At 36.0% G+C, this 16,099-nt stretch overlaps 1 protein-coding gene and 1 long non-coding RNA gene across 15 annotated transcripts in view, besides 1 other annotated feature; one reads left to right on the top strand and one right to left on the bottom strand.

Moving 5' to 3' along the window:
• Positions 1-16,099, bottom strand: part of LOC124902383 (uncharacterized) — a 121,044-nt gene that overhangs the window by 37,497 nt on the left and 67,448 nt on the right. The gene's annotated exons all lie outside the window — the stretch shown is intronic.
• Positions 1-16,099, top strand: part of MINDY3 (MINDY lysine 48 deubiquitinase 3) — an 82,334-nt gene that overhangs the window by 39,204 nt on the left and 27,031 nt on the right. For 9 of the 13 annotated variants that reach the window (XM_005252600.3, NM_001318330.2, NM_024948.4 and 6 more), the window contains one exon: positions 4,389-4,469. The exons of the other annotated variants lie outside the window; for them this stretch is intronic. In XM_005252600.3, coding sequence (XP_005252657.1) covers positions 4,389-4,469 — 81 coding nt within the window. The remainder of the gene's footprint in view (positions 1-4,388; positions 4,470-16,099) is intronic. 13 annotated transcript variants of the gene reach the window in all.
• Positions 6,397-6,546: an enhancer, noted in NCBI's record as "active region_3095". NCBI's record gives its function as "activates an Ori minimal core promoter by ATAC-STARR-seq in GM12878 lymphoblastoid cells {active_cell/tissue: GM12878}" and the evidence as "EXISTENCE:reporter gene assay evidence [ECO:0000049][PMID:35858748]".

Here is a 16,099-nt window from a genome sequence, read left to right as displayed (position 1 = left end):
CTTCACTAAAACAACTGGTAATACTTTATTAGGCAAAGAGAAAGAATTGCCAGATGCCTGAAATTCTGACTTTTATCTATTCCATCTGAAAAATGATTTCACACTGAAAAAAATTTCAAGCATTTTACAACATTAAACTCTTTGACACATGCACTAGGGTTAGGAACTGCCATGGAACTCTCATTTATTGCTGTTTATTTCATTCTCCTCCTACACAATCTGAAACAACCTGAAATGGGTATTGTAAATAGTTTTAAATGGAATTTAAACCATTATTGACTTGCACTTCGTAAGATGTCATGATTTGGGAGAAAGAAGTAGATCTAGTTTTCTTTTTCATTAAAAAAATTTTTTTAAATAGAGACAGGGTCTTGCTATGTTGCCCAGGCTGGTCTCAAACTCTTGACCTCAAGTTATTCTCCTACCTTGGCTTCCATCCCTAAGTGCTGGGATTACAGGCATGAGCCTAAGGCACCTGACCTTCCTTTTCTATTTTAGAACAGGGTTCCATAGCAGGGGTTCAGATGGTGATAATTATATGTAATAACGATAATCATGGTTGATCCTCTTTTTCGTCAGACAGCGTTCCTTTTTCATGTTTCACTTGAACACTGGGTGATATGCATATGATAATCAAATTGGATTTGTCCTGCCCTTACTCCTTTAGTAGTGATCATATGGTTAAACAGTATTTTCAGTGACTTTTATCTTCGGTGACTTTAATTGTGTAAACTAAAGCTATTCTGAAACAGCCTGGCAACTAGAGAATCAAAGTGTGTCCCCTTCCCCCTAACACATATACACACACATTCGTAGATCCTAAAGAAAGTTAAGCATGGAGGCGGGGGGTGGGGCAAGTGGGATGTGCACGCATGCCTGCGTCTTGTATGAGGCTAGGGGGTGGAGATTTTATATTTGGAAATATTTCCTGTGTATCCCTTAAGACCCTGGTGGTCTTTGCAGTTGCGTTGCTTTCTCTACTGCTGTGCTCCAGCCACACTGGTCCTCTCACTTTCCCAGACACGCCGAGCCCTCTCCAGTGCTTGCTGTCCTCTCTGCCTGGAGTTGTCCAGCTCTTGAGATGGATGGCTCACTGTCCCCTTCAGGCTGGACTGCAGATCGTACCTCAGAGACTTTTTTCTTGACCACTCCCTCAGATATTCTTTTCCACAATATTTAATAGGAATAATTAATGACACTTTTTGTTTACTTTTCTTTTTAAATCTTGAATTTGCTTTTCTATTGTCTTCCCTAATGGAATATAGACTCTGGAAACTGGGACATTGCTAGGTACATATTAAGTGCCAGGTGCTCAGAAATATTTGTTGAATGAATGAATGGACGTATTCACCAGAATTGTTTGGTTTTCTAGATGTAGGCTTTACTTTGCTTTAATTTTTAGGTAGAACAGAAGAACGTTTTTCCCCTCAAGATCTTAGTGGGAAGTCAATCGCTGCTGTGTATTCTTCTGTTTACATATTGCTGTAGTGTTTTAGCAGTTAACTATGGTTTTAAATGAGATTTAAGGCTTCTGCTAATGGCACAACAAAACACACTAACACTTGGATAGGTGAAAGGCAAAACTCTGTTCCTTCCAACTGCAAATGAGGGAGGGAAGCCAGGCAGGGCCACATGCAGGATTGCATCTGGGGACTGGGGTACAGCAAGCTGGAGCCATTAGGAGCAGCTGATGTACCTGAAGTAGGATGGGGTCAGCTAGATTGCCTGAGCTCCCCTGTGGATTGGCTAATTTGGATAACTCTGGGGGGCTCTTGGGTTATCCCTAGTAGTCTGTCTGGTACCTGACTCCAGGGTGATTAGGGTGATCCCTGGAGTGTGGGAGACCTATAATGGTAGTGGCTGGAATAAGAACTTAATTAGCTATCTTTTGCAAGGGAATGACTGGCCTCTAGCCAGGGCCTCAAAAGTGAGTCAAGACAGCATTTTTTGAAAAACTATATTACGCTACAGTGTTCATCTCTCTCTAACTTCTCAAATTCTGTGTATATTTTACATTTACTTTCTATGAGATGCTTGGAGGAATGGCATTAAGGAAGTCATTGAGCTTGTGTTAATTTTGTAAGTCTGAACATTTCCCCGTGCTTTGATAAGTGTAGCAGATTTCCCTTTAAAGATGAAATTAACATTTTGCAATATCATTTTGATTATACATGCATTAATACAATTAAGGTGATGAAATAATCTCTTTCTCCCTCCTGCACTCTCCCTCTCAACACACACGTACAAACCCAACAAAGAATAAGGTGGCTATGGCTACTTTTGACTCTACTTTTTTAAAAAAGATAGATTTATAACTCACATACCAGGAGATTCACCATTTTAAAGCATACAATTCAGGGCTTTTTAATATATTCACGATGCAATGCAACCATTACCCCAATCTAATTCCAAAATGTTTTCCTTACCCACAAAAGGAGCTCTAAACCCATTAGCAGTCCCATGCTCCTCCCACTCAGCCCCTGGAAACCACTACTCTTGTTTCTGCCTCTGTGGATTTACCTCTTTTGTACATTTCATACCAATGGAATCATGTAGTATATAGCCTTTCGTTTCTGGCTCCTTTCACTTAGCATGGTGTTTTCATTGTTCATCTCTGTTTTTTACATGTGTTAGTATTTCATTCCTTTTTATGAGCAAATAATATTCTTTTGTATGTTAAACCAATTTTATCTGTTCATCAGTTGGGTTGTTTCTACTTTAGCTGTTATGACTAGGGCTGCTGTAAACATTGATGTACAAATTTTTTGTGTACATGTTTTTATTTCTCTTTGTATATACCCAGGAGTGAAATTACTGGTCATACAGTAATTCTATTTTTAACTTTCTGAGGAAGTGTCAAACTGTTGTCCAAAGTGATGACACTTATTTATGCATTCAATATATTTTTACTATTACAAAACATTTCATGAGTTTAGCATTCATTTATTCTTTGATCTTATCCTTTGTTTGTTTGTTTTTTTTTTTTACTTCTACCTTAATTTAAATACACACTTTTTCTGAAAGAAAGGTTAATATCTAATCTCTTCACCACACGAGGCACCATGTGATGTGATGGAAATCCATCAGAGTAGATAGAAGTCAGAAAACTTAAGTCCTAATTCTAGCTCTGTACTATTTAGTTGCCTGAGATGAGACCAGGCACAGATCCTGTGTATTTCTCTGGTTCCTTATGTATAAATTGAAGGACTTGCACAGCTCACCTCTAAAATCCTCGTCCACTCTGGAACTGTGATTTTATCTTTCCCTCTTTCTTTGTTCCTTTTCTTTTATTCTTCTCTGCTGTTCCCAAACCATCCTTCCTACTTTACTGGCTCAACATTGCCACATTAGCACATCTAACTCATCCCTCCCATCATAGGACAAAAATACTAGTTTCTCTGTCCATGGATACAAAAGAGTACCTATTTTCCACTTCCCTCCTAGTGATAAGAATAAATTCCACAGGGCCAGGGTGGTGGTTGAAGCAGGGGCTGCTGGCTGATTAGGAAAGAATTTTTGGCCTGACTGCCACAAACAGCCACTTGGAATTCCCCAATTATAGGCAGTCTGTAAGAAAAAGGAAAATGCAGCAAATTGTATTGCTAAGATTCGTCATTTTTAAGTTAAAGTTTCTGTCTTCATATGAGAGTGGAATTGAGTGGTGTGAACGTGTTGGGTTTCATAAGTCTATTCTGTTTGTTTAGTATTAAACTTTTTTTTTCTCAGTCACACACACACAATCGTGTTCTCAAGTTTTTGGTATAGTAATGTTCACAGATTATGTAACCTTGAGAGCAGAGTACAAATACAGCTTTTTATACATTTTAAAGAGACTGTTCATACTGTGAAACTTTGAACCTACCTTCTATCATGAAGAGTCAAATAACAGGACACTTACATACTTAAATGGTTTAAATTGTAATTTTTCTTGATTATTTGGGAGCAAAGATGTTCTTTCCCTTTGATTATTCATAAATCTACTCATTTGATAAACTATAATTATTTTCCTTATAAAGTTATTATCGTCAAGTTTATAGTTTTAGGGTTTGAGGTTTCATGCTGAAATTCTAAGAAGTGGTCATTTTATCTAGGAACTTTAGCAAAACCTGAGAATGACTCTTAGGGCTAAATAGTTATCTCCAGCTGTGTTAAATCTATATTGTTGTTGTTTTAATGTCAAAGCACAATATAAGCTCAGTACTGACAGTCTTCTAACACTCATTTTTACATTCAGCATTTGATCTCTATGGGTGAAGTGCTCGGGCACAATACATTATTTCAGTTAAATACAAATTGGACACTTTATGCTTCAGATATTTATGGGCAAATAAGAGGCAGTATAAATTTTTAATTTGTTTATTTGTTTTATTTTGCTACATTTGTTCTAGGTTGGTTCTTACTTGAAATCTCCAAAATTCCCTATTTGGATTGTTGGCAGTGAGACTCACCTCACCGTATTTTTTGCCAAGGTATGCTTATAGCAGGATTTTTTTTTAAGTTATGACATCAGGCAAACAAGTATTATAAGTTCATATTTGGTTTGGATCTTTGTGCAAACTTCAGTCTATTCCCACAACAAATGAATTGTTCAAAAATCTCAAAAACTAATACTGAAGAACATACTGTTTTCGTGCTCTAAATCTGGAATCTTTTAATCAAAATCTATCATGATTTAGTTATAATTTCTTCTTCTTTCTTTAGAGCTTTAGCTTTTGATTTTTTTCAGAAATCACTTGTGTTATAGAGAAAACAATTGAATTTTAAAGTTTTAGATTGCTTTTTTTGTAAGTAGGATAAAAGATTTATTTAACTTAGATGATACATGATATAAAATGTTTTAATTACAGCATCTCCTTTGAAAAAATTTTAAAATCTATTAATAATTCAATGGTATTAAAGTCAAATGCTCTTTTAAGATGGAATACTTCCCACAATTTTAATATATACCTGATTACAATATTGAAATAGCTGAAATATATCTGAATATTTCTTTTCTTGTCTTTTTTATTTTTTTTCTTTTTCATTTTTTTTTTTTTTTTTTTTGAGATGGAGTCTCACTGTGTTGCCCAGGCTAGAGTGTAATGTCACAGTCTCGCCTCACTGCAACCTACGTCTCCTGGGTTCAAGCGATTCTCCCACTTCAGCCTCCCGAGTAGCTGGGACTACAGGTGCATGCCACCACACCCAGCTAATTGTGTTTTTAGTAGAGACAGTTTCGCCATGTTGGCCAGGCTGGTCTCAAACTCCTAACCTCAAGTGATCTGCCCACCTCTGCCTCCCAAAGTGTTGGGATCACAGGCGTGAGCCACTGTGCCCCGCCATATCTGAATATTTCTATTTCAAAATTCTTATAACAAAGCTATTTTTAAATCTCAACTATAATCTGTATATCATGTTTTTCCACAATTGAGTGGTTAAGAGCTTTGGCCTCAGACGACTTTGGTTTTAATCCCAGCCTTGCCACTTCTTAACATCTCTCAGCCCCCTTTCCTGTGTCTTTAAAATAGGGATTCATAATAGTACCTAGCTTTTAGAATTGTTGTCAGGCTTAAATACAAAGTATTTAGCAGTGCCTAGTACAAATTAAATGCTGAGTAAATTTTAGCTGTGGTCATCGTCATCATCATCATCATCATCATTTTTAGTATTCAAGAAACATACGTTAAACATCTCTGGGATCATAGGTAACTTGATAGGTTGCTGAATGTTCGTAGGAAGATACAGAATTGTATTTTAGAGGTTTCTTCATTGTGATGTGCTTTCCTGATTACTCCTTGAGCTTTTTGAGCATGTATAGTCAATGAAAGTTTATTATTTGTTTCTGTAGAAAGTACAAGTGGTATAAATTATACTCTAGTCTGAATTGACAATGCTAAGTTTCGTGAATGTAATTATGTCTTACTGTATTTACTTTTATTGTGTTGGCAAAAGTCCAGATAGGGGTTATAGAGCAAGATACATAATTGCCTTTTCTCAAGCACGGAAAGCTTTAAAATTAAATGCTAAAAGTACAGAGTTACTGATACATTGCATTTAGTTTGAAAGCTTTTGCTATTTATTTCCTTCCTGAAGTAGAGAGAGGAAGTTAAAAAGCACAATGTGAACTACAAAAACTGACAATTACTAATTCCTGAGTGAGGATTTCATTTTATAAATTACCATAAAAGAAAATTAATTCTGACTTACACACAAAAATGTATTTTCAAACCAATTTTTAATCATGTTTGTCTGCAACCTTATTCTTTAAGGAAAACTAATTATATGAAACTAAAAGTGTTGAATATAAAAGATGACAATATTTTAAATCTTAAATTTTATAATTGATGTTTAAGAAATGATTTTGTTGTCAGAACAGTAGGAGAGATTTCACAGAAGGTATAATACAAGGAACAGTGTCGAATGAGCTGTGAGTCTGAGGACATTATCTGAAAAAGTTAGTGATGTTGAGGGAGTTCCCAAGAGTGAAATAGGCCCTTCTTTTTATGAGTACACTCTTCCTACCTGTCCTGATACTTTTGTGGTTCCCATAGCACTCGCCCATTGTGCTGTCGCATGTGTCAAACAGCACACAGTTTCTAATTCCCATACTGTTTTCTGCGTGTCCCATGGCAGCCAGTGAACTTTGTCTAGGGCAGGGGCTGTCTCTCGCCCACCTTTTTATTCATAGATCCCTGTCATGTGCAATAACGTGTTGAATTAGAGACATGGAGTTAAGAGAAAAACACAAAAACTCCTGCCATGTGGGTGTAGAACTCTTGAATTTTATACTAATTGTTACTGTTTTGAGACTTACCTGTGTAGTCTCAGGATCTAGTATATAGTCTGGCACACTAGGGGTGGGGGGAATTATTAGTTGAATGAATAAAACTTTTGTACAAATTTCCCGCATTTGGGTTCCAGTGACGTTTATATCCCCTAAGAATATTTTACACGACTCATTGTGATGCTTCATTGTGTAGTATCTATAGATACTTTCTTAGAGTAGTCAAATTTGGATTGTTTGAGATGTTACCTTTAAGAGGAGTTCCCAGTGAAGAGTTGTTTTTTCCCCTTGAAATAAAAGTAAAACAAAGCTGGAAGTTCACCTAAATGGTAAATAAGAACAATAATACTTGATCACATTTATTGAGTCCTGTTTTAGATTTGTTAAATATAAACTGATGTTCATATAGTCTTCACCACATAAAAAATACTGGAAATTTCGCTCTTCTTAAAATTATAACAAGAATCATTATTCGGCCATTCCTTCTTTAACATTTCTGCATTTGAGCAAGCAGTTTTGGCTGTGGGTTTTTCTTTTTTCTTTTTCTTTTTTTTTTTTTTTTGAGTTTTGGTGAGTTTGCTTTATTATACATTCAGTGGCCTGAAACAACATTGTTTTAATTTTTCCCCAGCAGTTCCTTGTAAATATTTATGTCTTTTTTTATAAAACTGATATGTTTGTTGGTGTATTTCATGTGCTGACTTCTTTGTTCTGGTTACAATTAAGTAAAAAAGTATATTTTATTTGCATAATTTTTAAGGCAGTCTGTAATTTGGCGTTGTGAAATGCCTGTGAAGAACAGTGGAATTCTTTGTGTGCCTTATGCGGTGAAGGTGGTAATAGTTGCAGGTTTCTTCATTCATTCATATACTCATTTATGAGCTTTTTACTGGATTATAGTATGTGCCTGGCATTATGCCAGGTGTTGTGAATACAGTGGTGAGCAAAAATAGATATGGGTCTGTTCTTAATGGAGGCGGACATTCTCCTTGAGTTACTCAAGGATATATAAATAATCACATAAATTTACAAGTGTGATGAGTGCTGACAAAGCACAGGTCCATAATGCTGTAAGAATTTATTGTAGTTTTGGAAAATTGGGATGTTTACTTAAAAAATTGATGCCTAAAATGAGAACCTGAGGTATCAGATTAAACCAGAGGAAGAGAGGGGAAAGAGCATTCTCTACATGACAAATAGAGCAAATTCATGCCTGAAGAAAGAAGGACAGACAGACAGATGAACTTGGGTGAGAACAAACTGAAAGACAAGGGCTGGAGGGAGCACTGAGAATTAGGGGGACAAGGTGTAAGATGAAGCTGGAAGAATAGCAGGCCATGTTACTCTTTGATACTAAGAGTTAGGACAACTAGACTTGTTAAAAATTGGTAGTGGGAGTAGTTTTGGGGGAGGTGGGAAGGAAGGGAACAGGATTAAATTCACATTTGTAAAAGATAACTCTAGCTAATTGTGGAGAATGGATATATTGAAGGATAACCCAGGGAATAGGTAAAAAAGACTTCTCTAGTTCTATTTCAGGTAAGCAAAGAGTACAATTTGGTCCAGAGTAGTGAGGTAGAGAGGAAAAAAGTGCATGGATTTCAGAGATTTACTCCTGAGGTAGAATGACAGGACTGGGTGATGGATTGGATTGGCAGCGGAGGGGTAGAAATGTCTAATAAGATAGGTGTGGCTAATGATTAGATCTTAGAGCTTTAGAAAATGTGTACTTAGCAGCTTTGCTGTTGTTGAATGTAACTGCTTGTTATTAAAGCAATTTGTTCACTGTATGCACATCACGTAATAAGTGGGATTGGGGAAATAAGAGGTACCTCTCAGACAGGCATGTGGAGAGCTATGCTGTAGCTTCTCTGACATGACTTTCTTCTTGTATTTCCCTCCAAAGAGCAGTGATGGGAGACAATCTGTTATGTAGACTGATGCACCACGTAGAAACTGCTTAGTTTTTAAATTTAAATTTAGCACTAGTGAGAGCTGTCAGAATCCTTTGACCCACATCTATTCTTTATGCCAAAGGAACCAGTCCATAGAGGAATTAAAAACTTTTCTAATATTGCATGGGTAGGAAGGCAGAAATGTGATAGCTAAGATAGAGTAAAATATCAGAAGCTGTATTGAATTTAACCTTCTGTATGGGGTAAAAAGATAATGTGTTAAGTGAATTAATAAAGTAAAAGATGTTGTGAGTAATATTTAACACATGAATAATTGAGAAGGGATAATTATACTATTTCCCAGAAATTATAGAACATTGAAATTTATAGAATAAATCAAGAATTGGCCGGGCGCAGGGGCTCATGCCTGTAATCCTAACACTTTGGGAGGCCGAGGCAGGTGAATCACGTGAGGTCAGGAGTTCGAGACCAGCCTGGCCAACATGGCAAAACCCATCTCTACTAAGAATACAAAAATTACCCAGGCGTGGTGCTGGGCACCTGTAATCCCAGCTACTCAGGAGGCTGAGGCAGGAGAATCACTTGAACCCAGGGGACGGAGGTTGCAGTGAGCTGAGATTGTGCCACTTCACTCCAACCTGGGTGAAGGAGCAAGACTCCATCTCAAAAAAAATAAAAATAATAAAAAAATTTAAAAAATGAAAAATTAAGCATTATTGCAAATGTACATGGAAAACTGAATTAAGCATCTAATTAGAAAGTTTTATTCTGAAGTTTTAGGTTATAAATACTAGTTTTATATGTTCTGTACACATGTAATTAAATTTTTGTAGGAATGAAAGCTTCATGTATTAGACCCTAGTAATAAGGAGAAAGTGCACATATGTTATTTTTTTTCCTGAAGCAAATTAGTGGCTTTGGGCAAAAATTATGAGTAATGTTAACTATATTATAGGTAAGATGAAGCACAAATTGACATTTTCTTAAATAGTAGCAGTTTTGAGTTCTATTCATTTTTCATGATTTAAAAGTATTGTTAATCAGTGACATTCAAATACATATACCACTGCTTTAAATACATTGCAGTTTTGGAATAATTTGTGTTTGTGTTGTGTTAGAAGTGAATATCACTTCCAAAATTTTCAGAAATATTAATCTATACATAGTCTCATGACTAGCACTGAAAATACTGTGATGGCAAGTGGTTGATGGCTTTGGCTCCTTTTTCTAAATTTTGTAAGTAAATTTTTCAAAAAATATATTTTGGTATATTTATATACAGGATGAACTAAGGTCTCAGCGATTAAATATGATGAAAGTAGTATAGTATATTGGCTAAGTTTTAAAATTATAGCATTTTTCTTTCTCAGAAAAAAAATCTTTGACATTTCAACTTCGGTTTTATTGTGAATTATGTTTATTTAAATTTGACTTGATTTTCTTATTGAGTTGTTTTTTCTTTTCTTCTCTACCCTTATTCCTAACCTGCTTTCCTTTAGAAGTCGAAGCTTGTGGCCCGTGTTCATTTGCATTATCAAAATAATTGGCAGAGTTTGAAAACTGAATTTTTCCACATCTTTGCCAATACTGGATCATTAAAATTATTATTATAATCATCCTAGTGGGTGTTAAGTGGTAATTGTAATTTTGATTTGCATTTCCCTAATGACTAATGAGCATCTTTTTATGTGATTGTTGTCCACTTCTAGACGTTCTTTGGATAAACGTCTGTTCAGGTCCTTCGCCTGTTTTTTAATTGGGTTGTTTGTCTTTTTGTTATTGAGTTATAAGAGTTTTTTAATATATTCTGGGTACTAGATTCGTCCTGTATATTTACTTGTTTTCTATATTATCTGTCTCTCTCTGTAGTAAGCTCTGTGATGGCAGGATTTTTGTGTTTTGTCACCTACTGTTTGCCAGGTCCTAGAGCAGTGCCAGGCATAGTGTAGGTGCTCAATGACTTTTTGTTGACCAAATACATTATAGAACACACTGTAGATCCATCTTAAAAAAATTGTGAGATGACCATGTTATTACTTGATAAGTTGGGGGTCGGGAGGTGTGCTTAAGATGGCTGAATAGTCTTGGATCATCAGAATTCAATAGATCTCTATCTTACATGGAGGGCAAATAGAAAAACTAGCTTTTGCTATCCTACCTGACCAATTCAAACCACCCGTATTATTGAATAGAAACAGCTGTCATGAGTATTTACAAATAAGCTTTGTGAAACTACCTATATGCTGTAACATGTTCAAAATTTACTTTCATGATTTGAGGATGGTTAAGAAAATTGCTTCTGTCCAGTGAAATAACCTCTTAACTATCTGTTTTTGTTTTTGAAATGAACAATTTACTTTTAGGACTTAAAGTAATTAAATATAATTTTTTTAAAGGGCACTAGTATAGGTTCATGATTTTAATTTTCAGTGCCAAAGTATTTACTTAATGAACTTATCACTTTATATTTGATATATCCAGTGACCCAGAATTTACCTTTTTAATTGTACTGGTGCCCTCTTCCTGACCTATAATCATCCAACACATTTTGTAGGATTAAAAGAGATTTTTCACAAGTCAGTTTTACTTGAGAATCATCATTAAAAATAAATTTAATAATTTTATGAAGAGGTTGTAAAAATGTTCAGGTTGATCATTTATAACATTTCTTTCATGAAGAAATATAATTTTAAGTTTTTAAATTTAAACCACCATGTTTTATAAATCATATTTTCTGTCTGATATAGAAAGAGTCATCTTTTCCTACTAACCCTCTGTCTCTGTCAAACAACAAAACTGTTATTGTACTCCTTGACATAGTATCCTAAGGAGTCTGGTTGTGAGAAATGCATCTAAGCCACCCTATGTAAATGAGATTTTTGTAGTTACTACTGAGGGAGAATATCACAGAATCTAACTTCAGGAACCTTATAGGAACTGCAGAGTCATCAAGCAGCAGGGTTCCCACAGAACTTCTAATAAGAGGATACGGGTGAGGTGAAATGCAGTACGTAAATGGACCTCTTCAAAGAGGGAAACTTAATTCCTATTAAGTACGATGGAGAACTTTCCAAGCAGGTCATCTGAGCTGTGGCAGAACAAAGGTCTGTACATGGAGACAGAATGTGCCCTGTAGGCATGGGTCTTCAGAAATCGTATCATGGCACTTTCATTGAGGTTACTTGAAAACATGCGAACCTACTGCACAGGTAAAAAGAAATGTATTTTGAAAAGTAGACGCTTAAGGAATACAGAACTTAAACTTTTTGAATTGTTTTTCCTTAATTTCAGAAGAAAAAACTAGCTCTTATTAGATGAAGGCTGTGTAACATTTGTTTTGTAATATGTCAAATATGTTAGGAGTCAGGTCTTTCATAATAATCCATAATTATTTAAGTGTTCAAACATTAGGGCATTTGTCCTCTATTTTCTCCCTAACCATCGTTTTCCTCATTGATTCTTCATCTTTTATTTTTATACTTGGGTTTTAAGAATAATTTATTTGGGTCACTTTCTTAATTTCCCTCGAATTGGGAACTAATTAGGAAATTAATTTTCAATGCAAATTCAAAATGGGCACTTTAAATCTGAAAATCTACTTTAAATATTACTAGAATTTAGAATGTATAAAATGGAAGACATAATAAATGCCTTTTTTGTTTTTACTGTGCATTTGAATCTCAATGTGGAGTGACAGCTGTTGATCCAGTATAAAAATAGTTGGACCCTGCCTATAGCATCTAGTTTCATCTTCAGAAGATCAGTGGCTAATTTGCTTGGTACTCCATTTAAACTCTTCATTGAAGTTGGGGAGATGAGTTTTACATCACTTTTTTGTTCTCTTTTATGGTTATAAAGGGGCTCTATGTGTGTGCGGAACCTCACCTTTGACCTTTCCTTTGATAAAAGCAGTTTTCTTGTCAGGCATGAACACGTGAATATCCATGACAGAACTGTTCATATAAAGAAACTGAATTTAATGCTAAGGAGGAAAAAATTATTTAACTGTTGCTGTGTGAGCTGACATTGTTCTTCCAGTGGGATCTGTTACTGGGAATGTAGGGAGAATTATTTCTACAGCACAAGCTGCTTTTATTACTCCTTGGTGTAACAGGAAAAACACTGCGGTGAACTGTTAGAGCCTTTCTCTCTTAGGTGTTTAAAAACTGGACAGTTCTACATCGACATTTCTCTGCATGTAATAAAACGGTGTTAAGGAAAAGCTGTAAAGTGGTGCTTTATACGTTTACTCTTCCAAGAAAATTCACAGTTGGCATTTTGTGTTTTATTGCAGTTTAGTTACCTCATCCTTTTATCTTAAGTAAATTCTGGAGTTTGTGCATATATTGAGATTTCGTGCCTCATCTAATACAGAAAGGAAATAGGGAAAATGCTAATTATTTGTTCTTGTAGTTTAATCATAACTTCTGTGACTTTTAAGACCTTAAAATAACAACTTAAAGGATCCTGAAGTTAATCTCTTATCTGAACTACTTGGAAAGTCTGGGTAGACATCTGGACAGCTTAATTATTCTCAGTGATTTGAATTATTACAAGTATGTAAATTTTTAATCACAAACTCTTTCCTACCTGCTTAGCACAATTTGGGGCTGTCCCCCATCAGCCATCTAGGATTATGCCAATGACTTGTACCACAATAATACTAAAGCTTTTCATTTTTAATTATTTTGACCAGAAATCTTTCAAAATATAAATGTTCTTGCCTCCTTAAGCCAAGTGAACATCAGTTACCCTTATGTACTCTTTGCCTTATGCAGCTGTATTTGTATATTCTGGTTTTTGTGATTTCCCTGAATTTTCTTTTTCTTTTACTTATTACTTCTCAGTCATCAGTGATGTCAGCCTTCCTGGAAGAAGTCTCTCTTTTCCACTGAATTTTTCTTTTTCTCTTACAATAGTATCCAAATAATTGTCTAAAGATAAAATACTGATGGAAGGGCCTAGAAGTATTCTGTTAGGAATGAAGCCTATGAGTTTTAATTAAGAGTCAGTATCATTAAGCCCACACCCCTAGCTATCTGTTCAGAATTGATAGAAAAAAATCATAGCCAGTAGAGTTGATAGCAGAGTACAAAAAAAGGTCTTGTATGGTTAATAGATGACCGCCACTAAGTCTTACTAAGTTTAATTTGGGGGATTATTGTGTGTGTTTGCACATGCTTTGCTTATGTTATCCTCTGCCCAGAATACGCTTATCAAAGTCTTGCTCAGCATTCCTGGTCCAACCTTCCACCATTCGTATTGTGTCCGCTGATTCTCCTACTCTCTTGTTGCTCCTGTTCTTTCTTCCAACTTCCTTCCTTCTTGTGGCACTAACTGATTTCCCACACTACCTACTGTCACACACATTCAGTATTGTGGTAAGTACTGTTGGAACGTAAGGATTAATAATACATGGTAATAGTTTACTGTGAGTGTTTACTGAATGTTGTCTGTATGTTAGGCAGTATGCTAATTAATCATCTCAGGAGCATTCCTCATTTAATCCTCAAACCAACCCTGTGAGCTGCGTGCCGTTTTCATCTGCATGTTACAGTCTGGGGCCAGTGAGAAAAATGACATCTCCAAAGTTAGATACTAGTGAGTACCAAGGCAGGATTTAAACTCCAGTCTTCTGACTTCTGAGCTATGCATTTAACTACTTCCCTCCCTTAAGAAAACAACTCATTCTGCTAGAGTAGAGTAGACCCTGGAAGAGGGAAGAAGTAGGTGTAGAAAAGATTATACTTGAATGAAAGGACATGGTAACTTTGAGACTGATATGAAGTGAAAGCTGTATAGATGTAGTGTTATAATGGGAAAGTTAATACTGTGTTTGGGGAATAGTAATTGGTAGATGATAGCTAAACCATACTAGTTGTGCTAGGATATTAAGATGAAACCAAAGGTTGACGATCAGCTGTAGGACCAGCTTGAATAATCACATTTATTTACAAATTGTCCTTACTATATGAAAGTCTGTCTTGATATGGAAAGCTAAACAGGAATATCCGTGGCATGAATGTAAAGCAAATTCATGGAAGTAGAGCAGCCTTCTGAATCAACAGTCAAAGCTTCTCTGCACAGCTGTGATAAAATTTTAAATTATAAATGTGAGTACTGTGACTAATTTGTAATCATGCAAACCTTGTTTAAAATTGTAGAAAACGAGGTAGGATTGGTTGGGGGCCCTCACTTTTTGTTCATACTAATCCAAGCCTCCCAAGATTAAATTATTGGTATTGAGTAGACACAGTTTCAGTAATCTTCTTAAGCATTAATTTTCATAGGAAACATGAAGTCTGCGTATGTGGAGATTCCTCCATGTGCAGCTTACATTGTTAAGGTCAGAGTTACTGGATAGCATGAGGGAAGACACAAGAGGAAAATATAGACTGCTCTCAATAGGAAGATCAAATAGAGTACATGTGGCACAAGCAACATACAGCCCCAGCCAGAATATTAGGTTTTAATCCCCTTTGCCAGCTTGCTGCAGTAACCAACAACCCTGACATTTCAGTCCTGTACACAGTGGTACTCAAGAAGGGGGCGATGAGAACAGCCCATCCTGTGGGTAGGAGGAGTGTGTGACTACTGACATTGTTCAGATTTGTCTGCACGTGGTGATGGCAAAAAGGAATTTGAGAATGTTTTAACGTCTCTAAAAGCAATGTACCCTCTTTTTGGCTGTACTGGAGCACACCACAGCCACCATACCTCTCTCCCCAACACACCCAGCCCAAAGCTTACCGCCCTCATAACTTACATGTTGGCTGCAGGTGTGCTCCACGTGTCTCTTTTATTTTAAGATCTGGGCTGAAGGAGTAGCTTCTGCCTGGAATGTGCAGTTCTCATAAGAGAGGGAAAAGAACAAGACTTCTGGCCAAACCAGATAGTGGCACTTAAAGTTTCTGCTAGGAGCTAGCATAATGTCACTCCCAGTTGTATTTCTCTGGCTGAATCTGATGTCAATGAGGCAAGGAAGTAGGCCCATTTCAGAGAAAAGTACTTCAGGTCACTTAGCAACAGACAGTGACAAATAATCCTCTTAGAAGGAGGAAGCAGCAACTAATTGGGAACAATAATATTATCTACCACCATCGATTACCTTGTATCACTAGGTGATTGAACAGTTTAATTCCAGTGATACAAAGAGTCCTAACTTTGAAATAAAGAGGAACTTTATTTTTTCAGGTACCTCTATCTGTATTACCAGTATAACTATTCTCTGTTCACCAGAAACCTTTTAAAATGTAACATTAACTATCCTTCTAAACACCTACTGAATTATAAGGCCTGTGTACAGTGAGTTGGCTGGGGATAAGTAATTCATTACTGAAAAGGTCTTTAAAGTTTATTCTTTAAGCCTTTCATCATTATGAAGAGCAATCTGCTGTCATGAATAATCAAAGAACCTCCA

Source organism: Homo sapiens, chromosome 10 (genome assembly GCF_000001405.40).
Source record: "Homo sapiens chromosome 10, GRCh38.p14 Primary Assembly".
In the NCBI taxonomy this organism is placed as follows: Eukaryota; Metazoa; Chordata; class Mammalia; order Primates; family Hominidae; genus Homo; species Homo sapiens.
The sequence above is the reverse complement of the archived record's forward strand: the minus strand, read 5'-3'. Positions and strand labels throughout refer to the sequence as shown.